This window comes from Homo sapiens, chromosome 4, assembly GCF_000001405.40.
Source record: "Homo sapiens chromosome 4, GRCh38.p14 Primary Assembly".
NCBI classification, from domain to species: domain Eukaryota; kingdom Metazoa; phylum Chordata; class Mammalia; order Primates; family Hominidae; genus Homo; species Homo sapiens.
Window position 1 is genome coordinate 2,049,559 of NC_000004.12, and position 21,258 is coordinate 2,070,816.

General features: G+C 58.8%; 1 protein-coding gene across 1 annotated transcript, besides 2 other annotated features; it reads left to right on the top strand.

Annotated features, from left to right (window-relative positions):
• On the top strand, nt 9,769-19,531 carry NAT8L (N-acetyltransferase 8 like). The gene is made up of 3 exons (NM_178557.4): nt 9,769-10,329; nt 11,440-11,604; nt 14,202-19,531. Exons 1-3 carry the CDS (start codon nt 9,954-9,956, stop codon nt 14,567-14,569), a joined length of 909 nt encoding a protein of 302 aa, NP_848652.2. The 5' UTR covers nt 9,769-9,953; the 3' UTR covers nt 14,570-19,531.
• Nucleotides 16,974-17,587: an enhancer, noted in NCBI's record as "H3K4me1 hESC enhancer chr4:2068259-2068872 (GRCh37/hg19 assembly coordinates)". NCBI's record gives its function as "activates a minimal SCP1, AML or CMV promoter by ChIP-STARR-seq in primed H9 embryonic stem cells {active_cell/tissue: H9 hESC(primed)}" and the evidence as "EXISTENCE:reporter gene assay evidence [ECO:0000049][PMID:30033119]".
• Nucleotides 20,098-20,779: an enhancer, noted in NCBI's record as "H3K27ac-H3K4me1 hESC enhancer chr4:2071383-2072064 (GRCh37/hg19 assembly coordinates)". NCBI's record gives its function as "activates a minimal SCP1, AML or CMV promoter by ChIP-STARR-seq in naive H9 embryonic stem cells {active_cell/tissue: H9 hESC(naive)}" and the evidence as "EXISTENCE:reporter gene assay evidence [ECO:0000049][PMID:30033119]".

The window sequence follows — 21,258 nt, forward strand, 5'->3', positions numbered from 1 at the left end:
CAGAACTGTTGTCCTGGGTGCGCGGTGGCCTCACAGGACACCCCTCACAGGAGAACATTTCTGTAACTCCCACTTATCTGGAAAGGTATAAATAAGGGCCTGGTCACGCCACTACCTAGAGTCCCTGACTCTCAGTTGACACCCTGAGGAGTGGCTCATTAGCAGCGCACTTCACCCCAAAACACATCCCCAGCCTTGGTCACTTTTGAAAAGTTCCTAAATTATGGGAAACCAAGCTTCAAAATCTGAGCATTCTTTTCCTTTTCTATTTTTCTTTCTTAAAACAATTTTTTGTGAGACAAGTTCTGGCTGTATCGCCCAGGCTAGAGTGCAGTGGCACGATCTCAGCTCACTGCAGCTTCCACCTTCCAGGCTCAGGCCATCCTCTCACCTGAGTAGCTGGGGCTACAGGCATGCACCACCACACCTAATTTTTATACTTTTTGTAGAGATGGGGTTTCACCATGTTGCCCCGACTGGTCTTGAACTTGTGAGCTCAAGCGATCTGCCCACTTTGGCCTCCCAAAGGGCTGGAATTCCAGGCACGAGCCACGGCGCCTGACCAAAAGCTGAGCACTGTTTTAAGGGACAACTGCCTTAAGAAACAGCAGCTGGTTTTATGTACAACACCTGTGAGGCATCCTTTTGTAAATATCTAGGGAAATGGACCCACATAGCCCGGGATGGTCATCAGCAGTAATGGCTGAAATGGGGGTCCTTTGAAATGGCTAAAATAATTTATTTGTGTGCACAGTTGGAAAAGGTGATTTTAGAACCAGACTGATGGAAGACCTACTTTCTGTTTATCCTGACTGAAATCTGATAATAAGAGGTTTGAAGGGATTTTTTTTTAAGAGCTCTATGGTCAGAAGTCAGCCTAATTAAAAGCTAACATTCAGCCACGTGGGCAGTATAGCAAGACCCGGTCTCTACAAAAAATTTTTTAAAAATTAGCCAGGCATGGTAGCACACGCCTGTCATCTCAGCTACTCTGGGGGTGGAGGCAGGAGGATCACTTGAGCCCAGGAGTTTGAGGCTGTGGTGAGTTGTTTGTGCCACTGCACTCCAGCCTGGGCAACAGAGTGAGATCCCATCTCTTTAAAAAATTAAATTTGAGCTACACACACACACACACACACACACACACACACACACACACACACACATTTTTAAAGGCCTTTCTGTATTTTTGTTTTGTTTTGTTTTTTGTTTTGGCAGACACAGAGTCTTGCTACGTTACCTAAGCTGGTCTCAAATTCTTCGGCTCAAGTGATCCTCCTGCCTCAGCTTCCCTAAGTGCTGACACTTCTTACCTGGATCCTGTTGCTGGGATTTTTTCAGTCGACTGAAACCCCTTTTAAAATAAGTTTGGTCCCTTTGTTTGCTTTTCTTGTCGGCATGAGTTTGCTGCGAAAAATGTAAAACGTCACTGACCTTTTAGAAAGCCTAAAATCTTGAGAACCGGCTCCTCTGTGACGCCTTCCGTTTTCCTCTGCTTGTGCTTCTCCTGCCTTGTACCATCTTCAGTACCACATAGGAGACTTCTAGCAGCCTGAGACCTCTTGAGGAACACAGAAAACGGCCACGCACACCCTGTTTTGGGGGCCTTCTGCCTTTCTCACGGAGTCTCGAGAGTCCTGGGCAGGCCCCTCTCAGGCCGAAAGCTCTGCTGTCTTTTGCATTGCGTTACCTGATCTCTTTGGCTTTGCGCGTTCCAGGGATTACTTTGTACTATGAGAGAGAACTTGACCTTCATGTGCCATGGCTGACAAGTCACTGGCGAAAGCCCATCCCCAAAGTCACTGGGAGGTAGCTGGCAGCGGCTGTAGTGAATGGTTATTATGGCAGGGGCTACTTGTTTCTCTGTGCATTTAGATAAGAAAGGTGCAGTTTGGGCCCCTGGAGGCTATGGGAAGTCTTGCCACCAAGGTAAAAGACTCCTGGGGTGACGGGCTGATCACGGGGTGGGCTGATTGGTGTTGGGTCACCCACCAGCCTTGGGAGAATGTCTTCGTAGCGTGGCACACTGTGGAAACACCGTGTGGCCCGGTCCCATGGGGTTTCTTCTCTTGGGGGACTGGGGATTTGGTGTAAAGATGGGATCCTGGATACTTAAAGATCTGGATGCTGTGCCTTCCAGCTGTGCCTGCTCTTCGCATATTTAAACAGCAGCTCCTGAACGCTGCAGATGCTTTCTGTGCCCTGTTCACTAAAGGGGTCTGCCAGAATGCAACTTTCTGATGTTTAGCTGGCTATGTTGAGACTCTGTAAAAGACATGGACATCTATAAAGGAAATCTCCATTTCTAAGGACATCTCTTTCTCTAAACCACTAGAAACTTTGAGGATAAGGAAGATATTGACTTAACATTTACATTTACATAGCAAGTCTTACTTTTGTTTAAGATACTTTTACTGGGCAGGGCGCGGTGGCTCATGCCTGTAATCCCAGCACTTTGGGAGGCCGAGGCAGGCGGATCACCTGAGGTCGGGAGTTCGAGAACAGCCTGACCAACATGGAGAAACCCTGTCTCTACTAAAAATACAAAATTAGCCGGGTGTGGTCGTGGGCGCCTGTAATCCCAGCTACTCAGGAGGCTGAGGCAGGAGAATGGCTTGAACCCGGGAGGCGGAGGTTGCAGTGAGCCGAGATCGTGCCATTGCACTCCAGCCTGGGCAACAAGAGCAAAACTCCATCTCAAAAAAAAAGATACTTTTCCTGGTATTTTAAAATTTTTTATTTCATTTTATTTATGGTTTTTTTTTTTTTTGACAGAGACGGGGCTTCACTCTGTCATGCAGGCTGGAGTGCAGTGGCACGATCATAGCTCACTGCAGCTTTGAACATGTGGGCTCAAGGGATCCTCCCACCTCAGCCTCCTGGGTAGCTACATGCATGTGCCACCACACCTGGCTAATTAAAAAAAATTTTTTTTTTAGAAATGGGGTTTCACAATGTTGCCCAGGCTGGTCTCGAACTCCTGGCCTCAAGCAATGCGGTGTTGTCTTGACCTAATTATCTGTGCTCTTTTTTGTCTCAGGAAATAACAGTGTTTAGCTCTAAGTTCTGTGCCTTTGAGATATACATTTTCTACCTTGTTTCTCCTAAGAATCACGTCTTTGGAAGTATAAGTTGAGGGTTTCTTAGCTAACGATTGTTAAGGGCAGTGGAACAGGTAATCAAGAGACTGATAGTCTAAAGGGGGTCGAGAAACAATTTGAAAACTGACAGATGAAGAATCTTATACCCCTACAGGATCTGCTTCTGTCTGTGTGTCTCTATGTCTCTATGTTTATGTGTCATATGCATGTGATATTTCACTACCAACGGGTATGAAGGTGCTCTAGTTAATTAACCAATTCACCAATTAGTTACTTGGTTTAAAGAAAAAGTAGGTGTTAAATAAAATATTTTATCAGAAAAATAGAAACCAACTCAACTGCCTTTGAGTTCACATGACTTGAGGAAACCTCTGGTAGGTAAGACTACTTTGATACTGTTAGTTAGAGGAAAACAACGGTGTCTTCTGATTGGTGAAATGCCTGTGTTTGAAACTTTGGGGTTCTCACTTATGTGGTCACTGCCTCACATTTTCAGGCTGTAAAAATTATTAAAAAGGAAATAACTTGAGATGATGGCTAGCTTTGTTTAATGGACAAATCAAGCATAATAGTTAAGAATGAGTAAAGTTGGCTGGGCACGGTGGCTCACGCCTGCAATCCCAGCACTTTGGGAGGCCAAGGTGGGCGGATCACCTGAGGTAGGGAGTTCGAGACCAGCCTGACCAACATGGAGAAACCCTGTCTCTACTAAAAATACAAAATTAGCTGGGTGTGGTGGCGCATGCCTGTAATCCCAGCTACTTGGGAGGCTGAGGCAGGAAAATTGCTGGAACCTAGAAGGCAGAGGTTGCAGTGAGCTGAGATTGCACCATTGCACTCCAGCCTGGGCAACAAGAGCGAAGCTCCATCTCAAAAAAAAAAAAAAAAAAAAAAAAAGAAGAAGAATGAGTAAAGTGAATGTAAATGGGATAAAAATTTATAAGTGAACTTTTCATAGTTACAAAAGTATTTTTACTTTTTTTTTTTTTTGAGATGGAGTCTTGCTCTGTCGCCCAGGCTGCAGTGCAGTGGCGTGATCTCGGCTCACTGCAAGCTCCCCCTCCCAGGTTCACGCCATTCTCCTGCCTCAGCCTCCCAAGTAGCTGGGACTACAGGTGCCCACCACCACGCCTGGCTAATGTTTTGTATTTTTAGTAGAGACAGGGTTTCACCATGTTAGCCAGGATGGTCTCAATCTCCTGACCTCGTGATCCACCCGCCTCAGCCTCCCAAAGTGCTGGGATTACAGGCATGAGCCACCGCGTCTGGCAGTATTTTTACTTTTTTAAAAATAGGATCTTGTGCTGTTGTCTAGGTTAGAATGCAGTGGCGCAATCATAGCTCATTGCAGCCTTGAACTCCTGGGCTCAAGTGATCCTCCTGCCTCAGCCTTCTAAGTTACCAGATTTGCAGGTTCCATTGTACCTGGCTTAAAAATCTTTTTCAGTAACTTAATATTAAAATCATGTTATGTTAAATTAATAGGTAATAATTGTATTAGTCTGTTTTCACACTGCTGTAAAGAACCACCGAGACTGGGAAATTTATGAAGAAAAGAGGTTTGATGGACTCACAGTTCTGCAGGCTGTACAGGAAGCATGACTGGGAAGCCTCAGGAGACTGACACTCACGGCAGAAGGTGAAGGGGAAGGTAGGCACATCTTCCCATGGCAGAGCGGGGAAGAGAGACAGAGAGTGAAGGGGGAAGCACCACACACTTTTAAACCAGCAGATCTCGTGAGAACTCACTCACTATCGTGAGAACACCAACGGGGAAATCCACCCCCATGATCCAGTCACCTCCCACCAGGCCCCTCCCCGACACATGGGGATCACAATTGAACATAAGATTTGGGTGGGGACACAGAGCCAAACCATATCAATCACATGTCTGAGGTTATTTTTTATTTTTATTTTATTTTTTCAGACAGAGTCTTGCTCTGTCACCAGGCTGGAGTGCAGTGGCACGATCTCAGCTCACTGCAATCTCCGCCTCCTGGGTTCAAGCGATTCTCCTGCCTCAGCCTCCTGGGTAGCTGGGACTACAGGCGCCCGCCACCATGCCCAGCTAATTTTTGTATTTTTAGTAGAGACGGGGTTTCACCACGTTGGCCAGGATGGTCTCGATCTCTTGACCTCGTGATCCGCCTGCCTCGGCCTCCCAAAGTGCTGGAATTACAGGCATGAGCCACCGCGCCCGGCCACAACATGTCTGAGGTTATTTTTAAGTCAGTTAAAATACTGAAACAATCATTAAACACAATTTTAAATTGATATACGTTGGCATTGTATTTTTATATGGTATAGAAAAGTTAAAAATATTTAGATCTGTTAATAAGCAAAAAATTGAGGAAACATCTTCCTAAAAAATTATTAAATGGGCCGGGTGCGGTGGCTCACTCCTGTAATCCCAGCACTTTGGGAGGCTGAGTTGGGCAGATCACGAGGTCAGGAGATCGAGACCATCCTGCCTAACACAGTGAAACCCCATCTCTACTAAAAATACAAAAAAATTAGCTGGGCGTGGTGGTGGGAGCCTGTAGTCCCAGCTACTCGGGAGGCTGAGGCAAGAGAATGGCATGAACATGGGAGGCGGAGCTTGCACTGAGCCAAGATCACACCACTGCACTCCAGCCTGGGCGACAGAGCAAGACTCTAAAAAAAAAAAAAAAAAAAAAAAAAGAAATGGTTTCCATCTAAAAATGCTGATATAAAACAGTTCAAAATTCCTTCCTAGGTTTTTCACTAAACTTGAAGTTACTGACTTACAATTGTAGTTAATGCACTTTGGGAGACCAAGGCAGACAGATCACTTGAATCCAGGAGTTGGAGACCAGCCTGTGCAACGTGGCAAAACCCTGTCTCTACACAAAATACAAAAATTAGCCAGGCGTGGTGGTGCAGGTCTGTAGTGCCATCTACTTGGGAGGCTGAGGCAGGAGGATTGTTTGAGCTCAGGAGGCAGAGGCTGCAGTGAGCCAAGATCACACCGTTGCACTCCAGCCTGAGCAAGAACAGGGAGACCCTGTCTCAAAAAACACTGTAGTTTATATATATAATTAAAACTACTAGATGTAAAAGAAACAATTCTGAATACAGAGCATGTAAGAAAAATAGGTTATGTCTTTGGTAAAGATTATAAAGAAGGCATGAAAATGTGGTTTTTGTTATGGGAAGAGTAAATTTGTCTAGAGGTTTTTAAAGGTTTAGTTGAAGGGATAAAAACGAATGATAGATAAGAGTGGATATAGAAAGCTGTGGAAAGAAAGAGAATGGGGTAAACTGTGAGACGTTATAAAAGATTTATTGGGCTGGGCGCGGTGGCTCATGCCTATAATCCCAGCACTTTGGGAGGCTGAGGCGGGCGGATCGCCTGAGGTTGGGAGTTTGAGATCAGCCTGACCAACATGGAGAAACCCTGTCTCTACTAAAAATACAAAATTAGCCGGGCATGGTGGCACATGCCTGTAATCCCAGCTACTCGGGAGGCTGAGGCAGAAGAACTGCTTGAACCCAGGAGGTGGAGGTTGTGGTGAGCAGAGGTGGTGCCATTGCACTCCAGCCTGGGCAACAAGAGCGAAAATCCATCTCAAAAAAAAAAAAAAAAAAGGATTTATTGGCCAGGCATGGTGCCTCATGCCTGTAATCCCAGCACTTTTGGAGGCTGAGGTGGGAGGGTCGCTTGAGCCCAGGAGTTCCAGACCAGCCTGGACAACATGGAGAAACCTTGTCTCTCTCTGAAAAAAAGAAAAAAGAAAAAAGAAAAAAGATTGATTGACATCTTACCTTGCATAGTGAAAGCTGGTTGGGATTGGAGGGATTGGCATTCCCATTGTGCTTGCAGCCCTCCTCCATCTTCCAGACTGTGGAACGCACAGGTGGGATAATAGAAAACCCATCTGCAATGCTGAAACCAGCTTCTAACACTCCCTGGCCTAAGGTGTTTCCACTGTGGTGCTGAACTGGGGTTCTGCCCTGTTTGGAAAACATCAGCTTTCTCTCTTTGAAATAATACCAGGAAGGCCCTGTGCCTGGATGAAGGAGCCTCCAAACCAGCTCCCCTTAAAGGCGATATTCTTCATTATTGCCGAGACCCTATAGAGCTTCTCACTGCACATTCTAAATTAATTAAGGATTCTGTTAACGGCGAGTTCTCAGGAGATGAAGACATGAAAGTTCAAGGTCTCCAACCTGGAGATTTCATGAGAAAAGCATCAAATATAGGACTTCCTCCAACCACAATAGATGGGACCACACCAGGCAGCCTCGCCAGAGAGGTCGTTTCCATCACTGGAGAACTTCAACATCTTGTTCTTCAGGCCAGGACCAGAAGGAGACAAAATAGGTATCTGGTTACCTTCAAAAATAGAAGCACTCTTCAGTTCTAGATTTCAAATTGTTAATAGTTGCCCTTATTTGTGTCATTTTTTCTTTTTCTTTTCTTGTTTTTGAGGCAGAATCTCAGTCTGTTGCCAGGCTGGAGTACAGTGGCACGATCTCAGCTCACTGCAACCTCCGCCTCCCGAGTTCAAGTGATTCTCCTGCTTCAGCCTCCCAAGTAGCTGGGATTACAGGCGCCTGCCACCACACCCGGCTAATTTTTGTATTTTTAGTAGAGGCGCAGTTTCACCATGTTGCCCAGACTGGTCTCAAACTCCTGACCTCACGTGATCCACACGCCTCGGCCTCCCAAAGTGCTGGGATTACAGGCATGAGCCACCACGCCCGGCCCATATTTTTCATTCTTAAATTGATTAGGCTTTGTGTTTCTAGATGTCCAAAGTCAACCAAAAAACCCCGAGGATGCTAGCTAGATGCTCAGAAGCCATCCGGTATGCGTGGCTCCTTCATAGCAGACGGCCTGACAGACCCCGTGCCAATCAACCTTGGCCTTGAGGCCTCACGAAGTTCTTAAGCGCCCACCGCACCTGTCCTCTTTCCCCCCATGCGGGGTGAGATGGCCCGGGAATGAGCCTTCCCAGCAGAAAAACTTACATCTAGAATGTCGATCATCACTGCTTTGAGAAGAGAAAATTTTTGATCAAACACGAGAAATGAGAAAAGAAAAATAGCCGGAGCTATGTGGGATTCTCAAAGATTATCTGGCCCAGAGACACCTGAGTACAGGGCCTCAGTCCCGCCTCCCCACTCACGCCCGGGGCAACTGCTGGAAGGCATTTTGTTCTTTCTTTTCTTTCCTATAGTGTCCGCCTGGCCGCCTCAGCGTCATCTTCATGTTCCTGGAATTTGTGACAAATAATGTACACCAATCAATAGCTTATGCCATTTTAATGCAAATTCTTGGTGAATTTAGGAGCTGCGTCTTCATTTTTCCTTTAAAAACGCACTTGCAACTGCTGCGAATGAGAGCGCGTGCATTCAGACCAACCTGAGTCTGTCCTTCCACGCTGCAGTCCTCAAACTTGGCCCCAACAAACTATTTCTATTCGTTTTGCCTGTTTTCTCCTTTAGGTTGAAAAGCTGACAGCGGGCCCCAGACACTGAGGGGGCGCCTTCCCAGCTTGGCTTCCCCTCCCCCCCACGCCCCCACCCCGTCCCCTGCCCCTCTCCAGGGCCCGTTCTCTGGCGGACGGGGCTGTGGACCAGTTCAGCCGCCCCTCCCCACCCCACCAGGGCGCTGCGGCCTCACTCCCACGTCCACGGGCAGGCCCAGCCCCTCCTGGCCTTCAGGTGACCTCAGCTGCCCGGCTGGCCCCAACTCCACCGCACAACGCAGACTGCGGGTCCCCAGGCCTGGACCCCTGGCCCCGTCCCGCCCGCGCATGTCGGGGAAGCTCTGCTCCGGCAGCCCTCGGGGTGGTGCTGGGAGGTCGCGCAGAACTGAAGGGGGCTAGGTTCGAGAAGCGCCGAGGATGGGGTCTGCGACCGCCTCCCCGCACCTGAGCTTCTCCGCCCCAGCCTGCGGCGTCTGCAGGTCCTACAAGGCGCAGAGCCCCCGCTGCACCTGCACCGAGGCCACGGGGCGCATGCGCGGCCGCGGGGGGCGGGGGCCGGGCCGGGAGGGGTCCTGCGGGCCCCGCATCCCCGTGCCCACTGCGGGGCTCGGACAGGGGGGCGCCGCGCCAGGCCGCAGACCCCGCCCTTCCGCGTCCCCACTCCGGCTGCCCGTGCGGCTCCGGACGAGGCTTCCCGGGGGCTCCGGGCCGGGGCAGCCGCGGCGCCCTCTCCCCAGGTCCACCGCGGGCGCTGCTTTCAAACAAAGGCAGGAGACGGAGCGGGAGACGCTGCCGTGACTGCTCCGGGCGGCCGCGGAGGAGGAGGAGGAGGACGTGGCGCCGCGATCGCCAGCGGTCGGGCCCGGGGTCGGGGCGCTCCCAGGCGCGCGGCGTGGGAGCGGGGGGCGGGGCGGGCGGCGCCCATCACGCGCTCCGCGGCCGGGTCCCGAGCCCCGCCGGACGCCCCCGGGCCAGGAGCCCCCGCCCGCGCCGCCGCCCCCGCCCGTGCCGGGCCCCTCGCGCTGCCCGGCCGCCCCGTCGCGCCCAGCGAGCCACCCGGCGAGGCGGGGGCGGCGTCTCCCCCACCCCCGCGATCACATGGTGACCCCCGGCAGCCAATGCAGTGGACGCTAGGACCCTGCGGGCCGCGGGCGCCGCGACTGCACCGGCGCCGCCGCATTATAAATACTTCTCCAAAATGCGGCGCAGCTCCCTGCGCGCGCCCCGGCCGCCCGCCGCCTCCGCCCCGCGCCCCTGAGCTGCCGCCGCCGCCGCCGCCGCTGCCGCCGCCGCCGCCGCCGCCGCGGGTCCGAGGGCGCCGCGCCCTTGCCCTGGGCCCGGCCGTGCCCGCCGCCGCCCGGCCGCGTCCCCGCTGCCGCGCCGCCCGGCCGGGTGCATGCATTGTGGGCCTCCCGACATGGTCTGCGAGACGAAGATCGTGGCCGCCGAGGACCATGAGGCGCTGCCGGGGGCCAAGAAGGACGCGCTGCTCGCCGCCGCCGGCGCCATGTGGCCCCCGCTGCCCGCCGCGCCCGGGCCGGCCGCCGCGCCCCCCGCGCCCCCACCTGCCCCGGTGGCTCAGCCTCACGGCGGGGCGGGGGGCGCGGGGCCGCCGGGGGGGCGCGGCGTGTGCATCCGCGAGTTCCGTGCGGCCGAGCAGGAGGCGGCGCGCCGCATCTTCTACGACGGCATCATGGAGCGCATCCCTAACACGGCCTTCCGCGGCCTGCGGCAGCACCCGCGCGCGCAGCTGCTCTACGCCCTGCTGGCGGGTCAGTGCGCCGGGCCCCCGGCTGCCGCAGTCCCTCGGGCCGGCGCGGAGCTCCCCCGCCCCGGCGTCCACGCGGACCCCGCGCCCGGCTCCCGGGGACCAGCCTGGGAAGCCCCCCGCTTTCTGCCGCGCCGGGCCCCGCGCAGGGCTGGCTATGGGCGTGGGGATGGGCGCAGGGCCCCGAGCGGGCCGGAGCCGGGGAGGGTCCGGGGTCCGCACCTGCGTCCCCGCCGCGCAGCCCCCCACCCCCACCGCCTCCCCTGTCCCCTCCCGGGCATCCTGGGTGGGGGCGGGTGCCAGGGCAGGTAGCGCCCGCCGCGGCTGGGCCCCGGCGAGTGCCTAAATATAATCTGCGGGCGGGGGAGGCCGCCTCCCGCTCGGTGCTAATTTATGAGGGGAAGACAGCCGGCGCCGCGGGGGGTGCGCGCGCCTGGCACAGCCGGGGCGGTCGCAGAGGGCGGCCCCTTCAGCGTCTTTGGGTGCCCTTCCCCTCAGAGCTTCCTGCCGGGGTGAGGGGGTTCGCTCCCATTTTACAGATGAGGCGCTTGAGGCCGCGTAGGGAGGACGCGACTCCCCCAAGGTCACGGCAGCCGAAATGCGGCTGGAAGCGGTGTGGGGCCTCCCTGCCCTGTCCCTGCCCTCAGAGCTCCCGGACGCTGGCCAGGAAGGGCTCTTGCTGGGGCCCTGGGAAGAGGGGGTCCTGGAGCCCGAGGCTGGAACGTGGGACACCCCCCTTCCTCCTCCCCCCTCCCCCCTCCCCCGCGCGGGGCCTGGTCTGCGGGGCAGCTCCCTGCCAGGATCTGCCCACCTTGGCTTCAGTAGGCCAGCGTGGGCAGAGTCCTTCCCGGCCCGGCCATCCCGAGGGTGTCCTGCCGTGTTTGGAAGCTCAGAGACCCGCCGAGGCTCATTCCAGGCGGTGGGGGTGGGTGGGGTGGCTGTCTTCACCGCAGGAAGCTTGGAAATAGGGAGAAGTAGAAAGCACCCGAGATGACCCCGGCTCCTCCACCAGGAGCGCGGCCGGGCGCGGCGTCCCTAGCGGGCTTCGCCGGGGTGGCGTCTCTGGGGCCTGGGGACCCCCGCCGCGCCGCTGACCCGCGCCCTCTGCCCCCAGCGCTGTGCTTCGCCGTGAGCCGCTCGCTGCTGCTGACGTGCCTGGTGCCGGCCGCGCTGCTGGGCCTGCGCTACTACTACAGCCGCAAGGTGATCCGCGCCTACCTGGAGTGCGCGCTGCACACGGACATGGCGGACATCGAGCAGTACTACATGAAGCCGCCCGGTGAGTCCCGCTCCCGCCGCTCCCCGACCTCCGCCCCAGACAGCCCTCGGGGGCACGCACTCCAGCGACCTCAGGGCAGGCCTGGGCGAGGGCCGGCGTGGGTGGGCCTGAGCCGGGGCCCCTGTGACCTGAGCCTTCTGGGTGACCGAGGCCTCCGGTGTCAGCGGGGCTGGGGGAGGCACGGCCGGTTCCTCCCGCTGAGTGACCTGAGCTGGCCCTGCGACGCAGTGGCTCCACCGTTCCCTGCTGTGGATGCGTCTCCCTGGCGCCTGCTGCGGTGGGGCAAGGGCCGCTGGGCTCTGTGGGTCCCATCTGGTGTGCCTTGCGGGGATGGGGTTGCCTGCAGTGCCAGGGTCCTGGGGGGAGAGGGCTTGTGTGGCAGGGGCCGGGGACCCTATTGGGGCACAGAGGATGGGGTGGGGGCAGGGGACCTGACCTTGAGCCTTGGCCTTCACTTCTGGCCTGATCGCTGGGCCGCTTAGCTGAAGGGTTTTGTCCCAGCCTCTGTGGCCTTCTATAGCTGGAGGAGCTGGGTCTGGGCTCTAGGGGGGGTGGGGGTTGTTCTCCACCCTCGGGCTGGCCCCCAGCCGCTGAGCCACACCGGTTCCCCCATGCCGGATGCCGCAGGGGTGAAGACTCTGCTCTCTGGGGTGGGAGGCTCTCTGCGATCCTGGAGCGTCTGTAGGCCAACGAGAGGGACAGAGTGTGGCCCAAAGGGTTGGGCAGGGTCTGTCAGGAGCCCGGTCAGTGTCAGGGGAGGGGCAGTGTCTGGCACCGCTGGCTGCCATGCTCCACCCCCGCGCCACGGCCTTGGTGCCTGCTGCTCTCCCTGACCCTTTCCTAAACCCAAACAGAGCATCTGAGCAGCCCCTGAGCCCTGGCCAGCCTCTGCTTGGGAGGGGAAACGGGCCATGAGGAAGCACAGGCCACAGCAACACAGGGGGCTCCGGTGGGCACACGGGGCATGGCCCTGCTCCCTCTGGGCCGTGGCCTCCCTGGTGTGAGGGAGTGGAGGGGTAGCTGGCAGGGCTGCAGGAACACCCCACGAGGGCAGAGGCTGGATAGCTGCTGATGGCCCGTGGTGGATTCTGGGAGCTGCTTGTGCACATGGGGAAACCGAGTCTTGGGAGGAGTGAGGTGTGCCCAGGGCCACATGGTGCTGGGGGTTGCTACTTCTGGGATGGCCCTGATCTCTCGTCTTGCCTGGGTAGGTAGAGGCAGAACCCCTGGGTGGTGGGCAGGCCAGCTGGTGGGAGGGATACTGGTCCAGGATCCCCTCCTTGGAGGTAGAGATGCTGTGTGGGTAGGGAGATGGGGGGTTGGGTGTGGGAGACCCCAGGGGCTCCAGGACAGGGGGCCGAGGAGGGGCAGCCCTCCTGGGAACCCTGGAGCTGCACAAAGCTTGGAGGGCCCAGCTGCTCGTGTCTGTGGCGATGGCAGCGGTGCCCAGTGGCTCCCCCCCACGCTGCTTCTCCTTGAAGGGCCTTCAGTACCCCTTTAGCTGCCTGCCAGGCCTCAGTGTCCAGCAGTGAAGGAGACAGAGGTCCCCTTCATGGAGCCAGCAGGCTGGTGGCTGTGCAGAGGGGCAATGGGGAGGGATGGGAGGGCTTCCCGGGGCTCGGGGCAGGTGCAGAGCCTCCTTGAGTAGGAGGCTGGATGGGCCACAGGCAGGCTGTGTGGCCCTCCACTGGCCAAACCCTTGGTCTTCAGAGAGGTCTCTGGGTGCCACCTCTGCCTTTGGCTGCTGGAGGTGGCTGGGCTTCCCCTGTGGCCAGTGCCTGCAGGTTCCCTCCCACAACCGCCCCAACCTGCCCCTGCACCTCTCCTCCTCCCCTGCCGGTTCCCCTCCCCCACGACCGCCACCTCCTGGCTTCGTGCCTGACTCGAGGTGAGAATTGGGCCGTGCTGTGGATGGGGTGATGGCCTGGCCACTTGGCCTACTGCCAGGAGAGGCCGGGGCCAGAGGGGCCATCCCCTGTCCCCCACTTGGATTTATAGGAAAGCTCCTCCTGGGCTGCAGGGAGCCTTCTGGACGCACTTTGCTGACCCCTGCCCTTTGCGGCCCTCTGCTGTGGGTGCTGGAGTTTGCCGTGATGGCCCGGGTGACCCTGGGTGGCCAGAAGCCACAGCAGTTTGGCTGCACCATGGCCTGTTCAGGGTGGCCCGGGCCATCAAGGCATTTGGTCTGGGAGTAGCTGGGCAGAGGGCAGCGGCCTGACTGGGCAAAGCCTGCCCCAGCTCTTGGTCTCAGAGGAGGGACTCGGGCCTTTGACCACTACTCTGAGCAGCGCAGCCTCCAGGCTTGAGTGGGTCCTGGCTGTTGGCCTGTTGGGTAACAGGTGTTGGGCTGGCTTTCTCTGCTTAAGGAGCTCTGGAGGGGGGCTCTACCTGCTTGTCCTGAATAGTGGCTGCCCCCTCCCTTGGCTCCAGCAGAGCTGGTAGCTAGGCCCCGGGGGCTGCCGGGATTGGGTGTCCCACTGCCCTGGCTTGGTGTCCAGCTGGAGGGGGCAGTGCCAAGGGCCCTGTCTCACCCCAGAGGTGGAGGGGTCTCCCCAGCCTTCCTCACCGGGTGTCCCTGACCGCCCTATCCCCTGCAGGCTCCTGCTTCTGGGTGGCCGTGCTGGATGGCAACGTGGTGGGCATTGTGGCTGCACGGGCCCACGAGGAGGACAACACGGTGGAGCTGCTGCGGATGTCTGTGGACTCACGTTTCCGAGGCAAGGGCATCGCCAAGGCGCTGGGCCGGAAGGTGCTGGAGTTCGCCGTGGTGCACAACTACTCCGCGGTGGTGCTGGGCACGACGGCCGTCAAGGTGGCCGCCCACAAGCTCTACGAGTCGCTGGGCTTCAGACACATGGGCGCCAGTGACCACTACGTGCTGCCGGGCATGACCCTCTCGCTGGCTGAGCGCCTCTTCTTCCAGGTCCGCTACCACCGCTACCGCCTGCAGCTGCGCGAGGAGTGACCGCCGCCGCTCGCCCGCCCGCCCCCCCGGCCGCCCTGTCCGCCTTTGCCCGCCTGCCCGCCGCCCGGCGCGGCCTGCTTTCAGACGCTCAATTGGCGTTTGTGTTGGGTTTCCCCTTTTCAACATCCTGCGGTTGTCTGGCTGGTTCCGGGGGGTGCGGGGCTGTTGTTCTTCGGCGACACTTTGGTGGGGGTGGGTTGTTTGTCGCCATAGCCCCTCGCCCTTCCCCACCTGCCTGGGCGGCTTGCCACCTGAAGAGTGGCATCTTGGACCACCGCGGCTGTCCATGACGCTGCCCTGCCCGCCGCCACTGGGGAAGGCCCAGCCTTGCTCACCAAGCACAGAACCTCTGCAGCAGATCCCGGGGCCAGGCTCCGGCCCCGCCTGCGGCCCCAGCGCCACTGCCTGTGGAGGCCCCAGCTGGCCACGGCGCTGCTTTGCTCCGCGCATGCCGAGGGTGTGGCCCGGCTGAGCATGCCGCATGCACACAGCCCCGCCCTGCCGCCCTGCCCAGACTGGACCCGGAGACCCGGGCTGGTGAGCGCCCCTGTCCCCAGCCCCCAGCTGGCTGTGGGAGGGCCTGCCCCTGCCCCCACCTCCTGGAGGGCCTGGTCTGCCCCGCGCCGCCCGGCTCTGTCCACACCTGCTTTGCTCTGACGCCCTCCATTTCTCTGGCTCCGGCCCCTCCCCTGCCTGGGCTGTGCTGACTGGTGTCATCACCCAGGTGACTCCCATGGCGTCCGTGGCACAGCCAGGGTGGGGGTCCATGGGACCCCTCTCCCCAGTGCCCACTGGATCGTGCTGGCCTCTCCCAGATGTCCCCGGGGACCTCCTGCCTCTGGCTGACGGTCCACCCTGTGAATCTTATCAGCCCAGGCTGCTGCCAACAGCGCCCAGCCCACAGCTTCTCCCAGCCTGAAACCAACACATTTTCTAATAAGTTATTTAGACAGAATAGCACTCTGCATGACTTTAATTCTTGGGACAAAACGGTAGTTTGTACCCTAAGACACAGTTTCTGGCCCAGTGTGATGGGGGTGGGTGGCCGGGTGGGTGGAGCGTTTTGCTGTTGGAAACCTGGAGGGAAACCCTGATTGGATGTCATTTCCTGCCATGGAGCACGCCTCCCAGCCCTGGCCTGCAGTGTGGGCAGGGTGGGGGGCAAGGGAGTCCGCAGCCTCCGGGAGGAGGGGCAGGGCGCTGCCTTGGGCTGGGTGGGAAGAGGGGTGGCCGCCTCGGCTTCCGCTGGCCATGCTCCTGGTCTCTCCTTCCTGAGGTCACAGGCAGGGGCTGCCCTGGACGGGGGGCGGGGGGGGTGGCCTGGAAGGGGAGACAGAGGTGGAGGGTGGCACAGGCTGCACATTCAGCTTAGAAGTGGACCTGGCTTTGGTGGCAGGAGAAGAATAAACACTTGCCCAGACCCCTTTGTGTGGGGGAATTGGGGAGGGGTCGTGGCAGGCAGGGTGGGCCACGGAACTGGGTCCCAGGCATCAAGGCCACGTGCAGGGCCATGGAGGGATGCTTCTCACGAGGCGCTTCAGAAGCGAGCGAAGGGACAGAGAAGCCCTGCGTCCAAGGGCCTTTTGTCCTGTTAGCAATTGAGGTGTGCAGAGCACTGTACAGACCCCACTCCCCTGTACATTCCTCCCTGGAGGTGCCCGGTCCCCGCTTGGGGATGGGAGTTTTGTAGACTGTACAGAAATCGGCACCCTATTTTCTTGCAGCTCAGATTTTGTTAATCTGGAATATACAGACAGACGTAAAGTGTTTTAGCAAAATGGAAACAAACAGTTGTGCCTTTTTCCTCTTTTGGTTTGGTTTGGGTTTGGCCTGGGGCTGGTCCCAGTTGGTGCGGGGCATGCTGGGGGCAGGAGGGGCAGGGCGGGCCAGGTGGAGTCAGGTCTTGGGGGTGTCATGTCGGGGTGCTGCCAGCGTCCCTTGGTCCTGTGCCTTTGGAGCCTCGGGCTCCTGGGGTGCAGGGTGCTTGGGGGTGGCTGTTGGAGCCCACCGACGCCAGGGCAGGGCCTGGAGGCCCAGGGACTGCCAGTGTCTCCTTGATATTGATCCTAGCAGATCCCCCTCCTGGGGGTTCTGAGAGTCCTGGGCAGTGTGGCCTTCTCTCATTCTGGTGGCATCTGCGCCCGTGAGTGACCTCTTCCTTGGCTGCACTGCCCTGTGGGTGGTGAGACGCTTGGCCTTTTTTGTTGCTGCCAGGACTTGGTAGAGATGGCAGGAAGGGTGTGCGGGGTGGTTGTGTGCAGAACCCTGCCGCCCCTGAGGTGAGCAGAGGCACTGGTGTGCCTGCCAGGCTGGGGCGGAGCTGCCCGGAACCCTTGCCAGGCCAATGTGTAGCTTGGTGGCGCCCTTGAAGGCCACTGGGGGGTAGGTGTGTCCTCCCCCGGGGCTGGAGGCCGGGTGCCTGGTGGGTGGGCCTGACCTGGCCCACCTCATCCCTCCAGCCTGGGATCTCACTGCTCTGCACATGTGCACTGACGTGAATTTTATACGTTTGTAGAAACTCTGATGTAACTTCTTCTACCTCTGAAGCGCCCTCCTGGGCCCTGCTGTCACGTGGCTGGTGCGGCTTCCCCGAGTGCTGGCCCCCTGCCCGCTCCCCATGGGCACCCACCACTCAAACTCTGCGTGGTGAGGCCCGGGGAAAGCCAGGCCGGGCCCTAGCACTGCTCAGGGGCCTGGGGCTCCTGGGATTTCTGTGTGTTTGGAAGCCTCTGTTTTTGGAGTGGGGGGCGTGGAAGGCGGGAGGGGCTGACAGTGCCTGGGGCCAGAGCTGGGCGAAGGAGGACATCCTCACTGGACGAGCACTGCAGGCCTGACGAGAGGCTCCGGGCAGCTGAGGGCTGAAGCGCCTCGGGATGCCCCACACTGCCCAGAGCCACGGGTCTTGCTGTGCTGGGGGTGGGGTGGCCCCAGGCAGCTGCCACTGCCCAGGTGTGAGTCGCTGCAGACCTGGTCCCTGAGGGTGGGAGGCCTGCTTGTGCTGAAGCTGCCATGTGGTCTGGCCCCCAGAAGGGCTCCTGAGCGTAGGGAGTTGAGCCCCGCAGCCGTGGCGGCATCTCCTCCTCCTTCCTCCGCCCCATGCCCAGCCTTGCTTCCGGCTGGTGGCATGCCTTGGGGCCGGGCAGCAGGTGAGAAGCTGCCCCCGGAGGGAGGGGCCAAGGGCTGGGTCAGTCTGGCCTGAGGGGTGGATGGCTGGCCCTGGGGGAAGGCTGGGCCTGGGAGGCCCTGTGGACAGCAGGCCTGAGGCCACGAGGTCCTGGGGCCACCCCTCTCCTGCTCTGGGTGTCCTTCTCAGAGAAGATGGCAGAAGGCTGCAGGCCCTAGAGGGGACGACGGGCTGGGGACGCCCTGAGCTTCCTGGCTGTGTGGCAGGTGCTGGGGAAGCTCTCTGGGCCATAGGGACCTGGCTCCCCTCTGAGAGGCCCGCCTGCCCTGGGGCACCCAGGGCTGTGCTGGTGGCCTGAGGCTGGGAACTTGGGTTCCTGGGCTCTGCTGGCGCCTGGGCTTTGTGGGGGCCGAAGGTGGTTGCCCCGCCGGGCAGGGGGCTGTGTGGGCCCTCGTGGGGCCACCTTCCTGTCAGTGCCCGAGGGACGGTGGGACAGTTGCCCCTGCGCCAAGGGAGCCCACTGCCATCCCCCGTGGGCTGGCGCTGCAGTCGCGCACCCTGTGTTGCCTGCTGACTTGCTTATGTCTGTTTGGAAGCTGCTTCTGTTTGGCCACAGGCCTGTGTTCCTGGGCTGATGGCCACAGAGCTGACACTTGGGGTTTGAGTTCCAGACTTGCAGACCCTGGGATCCGCTTACTCCTCCGCGCCACGGCTGCTGTGCTTCCAGAGGTGGCGTGATGCCTCCCGGGGCCATGGTGGGGTGAAGGATGGCGAGCCGGACATACCATTGTTGGATGTATTTTTTTTAAAACAGCAATAATTAGCCATTTTAAAGGAGGGATGTACCTGTGTGTGTGCATGTGCACGTGTTTGAGCGTGTGTGTGTGTGCAAGTGGGTTCTTGGATATGTGTAGTGTGAGCATGTGTGCATGTGTGAGCCTGTGCACGTGCATGTTGTAGGTGCATAAGCATGTACACGCGTGAGCATGCATGTGTGTGTACACGTGTATAGGTGTACATGTGCATGAGTTGTGTACATGCGTGAGCACGTGTATAGATGTACGTGTGTGTGCGCATGTGTGCGTGTACATGTGTTTGTGTCTTGGGTATGCATAAGCATGCACGTGTGTATGAATGTGCGTGTGTATGCATGAGCACGTATGCATGTGTGATGCGCATGTTCTTGTGTACTTCTCTGAGGGGGCACATATGTATGAGTGTATGAGTGCATACATATGCATATGGTGTACGTGTGTGTACTTTGTGTGTGGGCATGTATGCGTATGAGTACTTGTGTGTGGCTGGTGTATGGGTGAGCATGCACATGTGTATGGATGCATATGTGAGCTGTACATGTAGAGTGTACATGTGTGTTGCATGAGCATGCATGCGTGCGAGTGCCTGTGTGTGTACTTGCATATATGTGGCTGTGCAGGTACCCGGCGGTGGTGGGCTGGCAGTGCCCGGGGAAGCAGGTCCTGCTCACGGCTTCCCTGCTGGGCCCCAGGCCCCGGGCTGAGCCTCCCTGGCCCCTCTTGCCCCTCAGTGGAGCAGGGCCTGGGTGGAGGGCCTGGGCAGCTCCAGGGCAGGTCCGGGGAGGCCAGGCTTGGGGAGCACAGGGGGTGGGGTTCACCTGCTGCTGTTTGTTCCCGAAACTGTACTGTGAGCCCACGGCGGGGGCAGATTGTTCTGAGGCCCCAGATGTGCCAAAACAGCCCCCAGGGTGGGGGCGAGCGAGTTCTGAGGAGAGGGGCTGCGGGGGCCGGGGGTGGGTGTGTGCCCCTCCCCTGAATGGCCCCCAATGCTGCTGTTTTTCAATAAAACCAGAGTTGAAGGCACCTGGCTCCCGTGCTCTCTTGAGGCGCTTCCTGCCCACTGTGTGGCAGGGCTGGCTTTCAGGGATGTGGCCCCACCCTTGGTTGCCCAGTTTGGCCCCCGCCGCCTCCCCCTTCTCCCCTGGCCACCCCCTTTCCCCACCTCGGCTCCCCTACACCTGGCCAGGCTGCCCTGCAGCCAGCACTGCCCCCTGGAGGGAGTGTAATCCAGGAGGTGGGGCAGGGGGGCTTGGTGGCCCCATGGGCTGAGGCCCCTCCCCCAGCAGGCACCCAGCCGGGTGGGCTTTGCCCATTCACTCTCAGGCCTGGGATCCCCCTGAGCAGCTCCTGGGCCCTGCCCTCCCCCAGCTCTGTGCTTGGTCCTGGGTACTCTAACTCCTGGCAGACAGCTTGTCCCCCAGCCCTTGCCCCCGCCCCATTTTTGCCACCCCAGTGGGACAAGGCCCCGCTGCCCTGTCCTCCTGGGTCTGGGGTTCCCAGTTCCTGTGGTTATGTCGACCCTTGCCCTGGCAGCCCCGGCGCCTGCCTGCCTGGCCCCTCGGAGGAACAGCGGTGCTGAGGGAGGGTGTGAGGTGAGCGGGCATTAGAGCCCACCAGGATGGGGGTGGACCCCCAGTGTCTGTGAGGGAGGATGCCAGGGCTGGGGTCCAGGCCGAGGGTGCTGCAGCTCAGGGCTGTGGGGTGGGGAGCTTGGTGTCGGGAGTCTCACAGACAGACATGGGGTGGACACAGACCCCTGCCCTGGCAGGTCCCCGTCAGGATGCCAGTCTTGTTGGCAGAGGAACTCCTGGAGTCTGGGGGTCCCCCAGCTCCACAGCCGGTCCCCTGGGCCACTTTCCTGGTAGGGGTTTCCTTGGCCCGGCTTCTGCCTTTCCCACCCTCCCAACCCGTGCCGCCAGGCCCTCCAGCCAGGACCCTGAAGGAACCCCAGGCTGCGAGTATCTTTCCAAGGGCAGGGGCAGGGGCAGGGCTGCCCCTCAGCCTGGAGGGCTAGGCAGCCTTGGCCTGGGCTCGGGTTACGAACAGCAAAGCCCATGTGGGACATCCCACTGAAACTGCGGCAGGATGGAGGCCTGGGTGCGGCGGGTACATCAAGGCCTGGCGGGCCTGTTGGGGCTCAGAGTGCTGCCCAGGGAACGCAGGCAGGGGCAGCACCGCGCTGGTGGGAGGGCCCAGCAGTGGCTACGGGCAGCTCCCTGGATCACTGGGACGTCCCACCACAATGGGGGCAGGCCCGGCCACCCAGGACCCACACACATGGGAGGCGGTGAAAATGTTTTTGAAGCCAGGAGAAAATCAGGCTGTCTCGGCCAGAGTGGGTGTTCTCTTCCTGGGGAGAAACCAAATGCTTCCTTGAGCCACAGGATGGGCACCTGGCTCCCCCAGGGGGCAGGAAGCACCAAGAGGGGCGAGGCTGGTGTGGCATAGCAGCAGGACTGTGATCTGGACTCAGCTGTCCCTGCCTCCCCAGCACCGCACACGCTGTCAGGCAAATGCTGCGTAATTGAAGGGAAGAAGGAACGGACTTCCAGCACCCGCAGACCACAGCAGCGAGGTCCTGACCAATTCATTGTGATGACCCAGGTCACCCAGAAAAGATGACCCATGTTCAGTGGGCACAGGCAAGCCGCGTGGGTGACACAGCCGCCACTTGAAAGAGGGCAGGGTGGTACACACGGTGGTGGTGGGGAAGGCCACTGCTCAAACCCACAGCACCATCTGCACCCCAT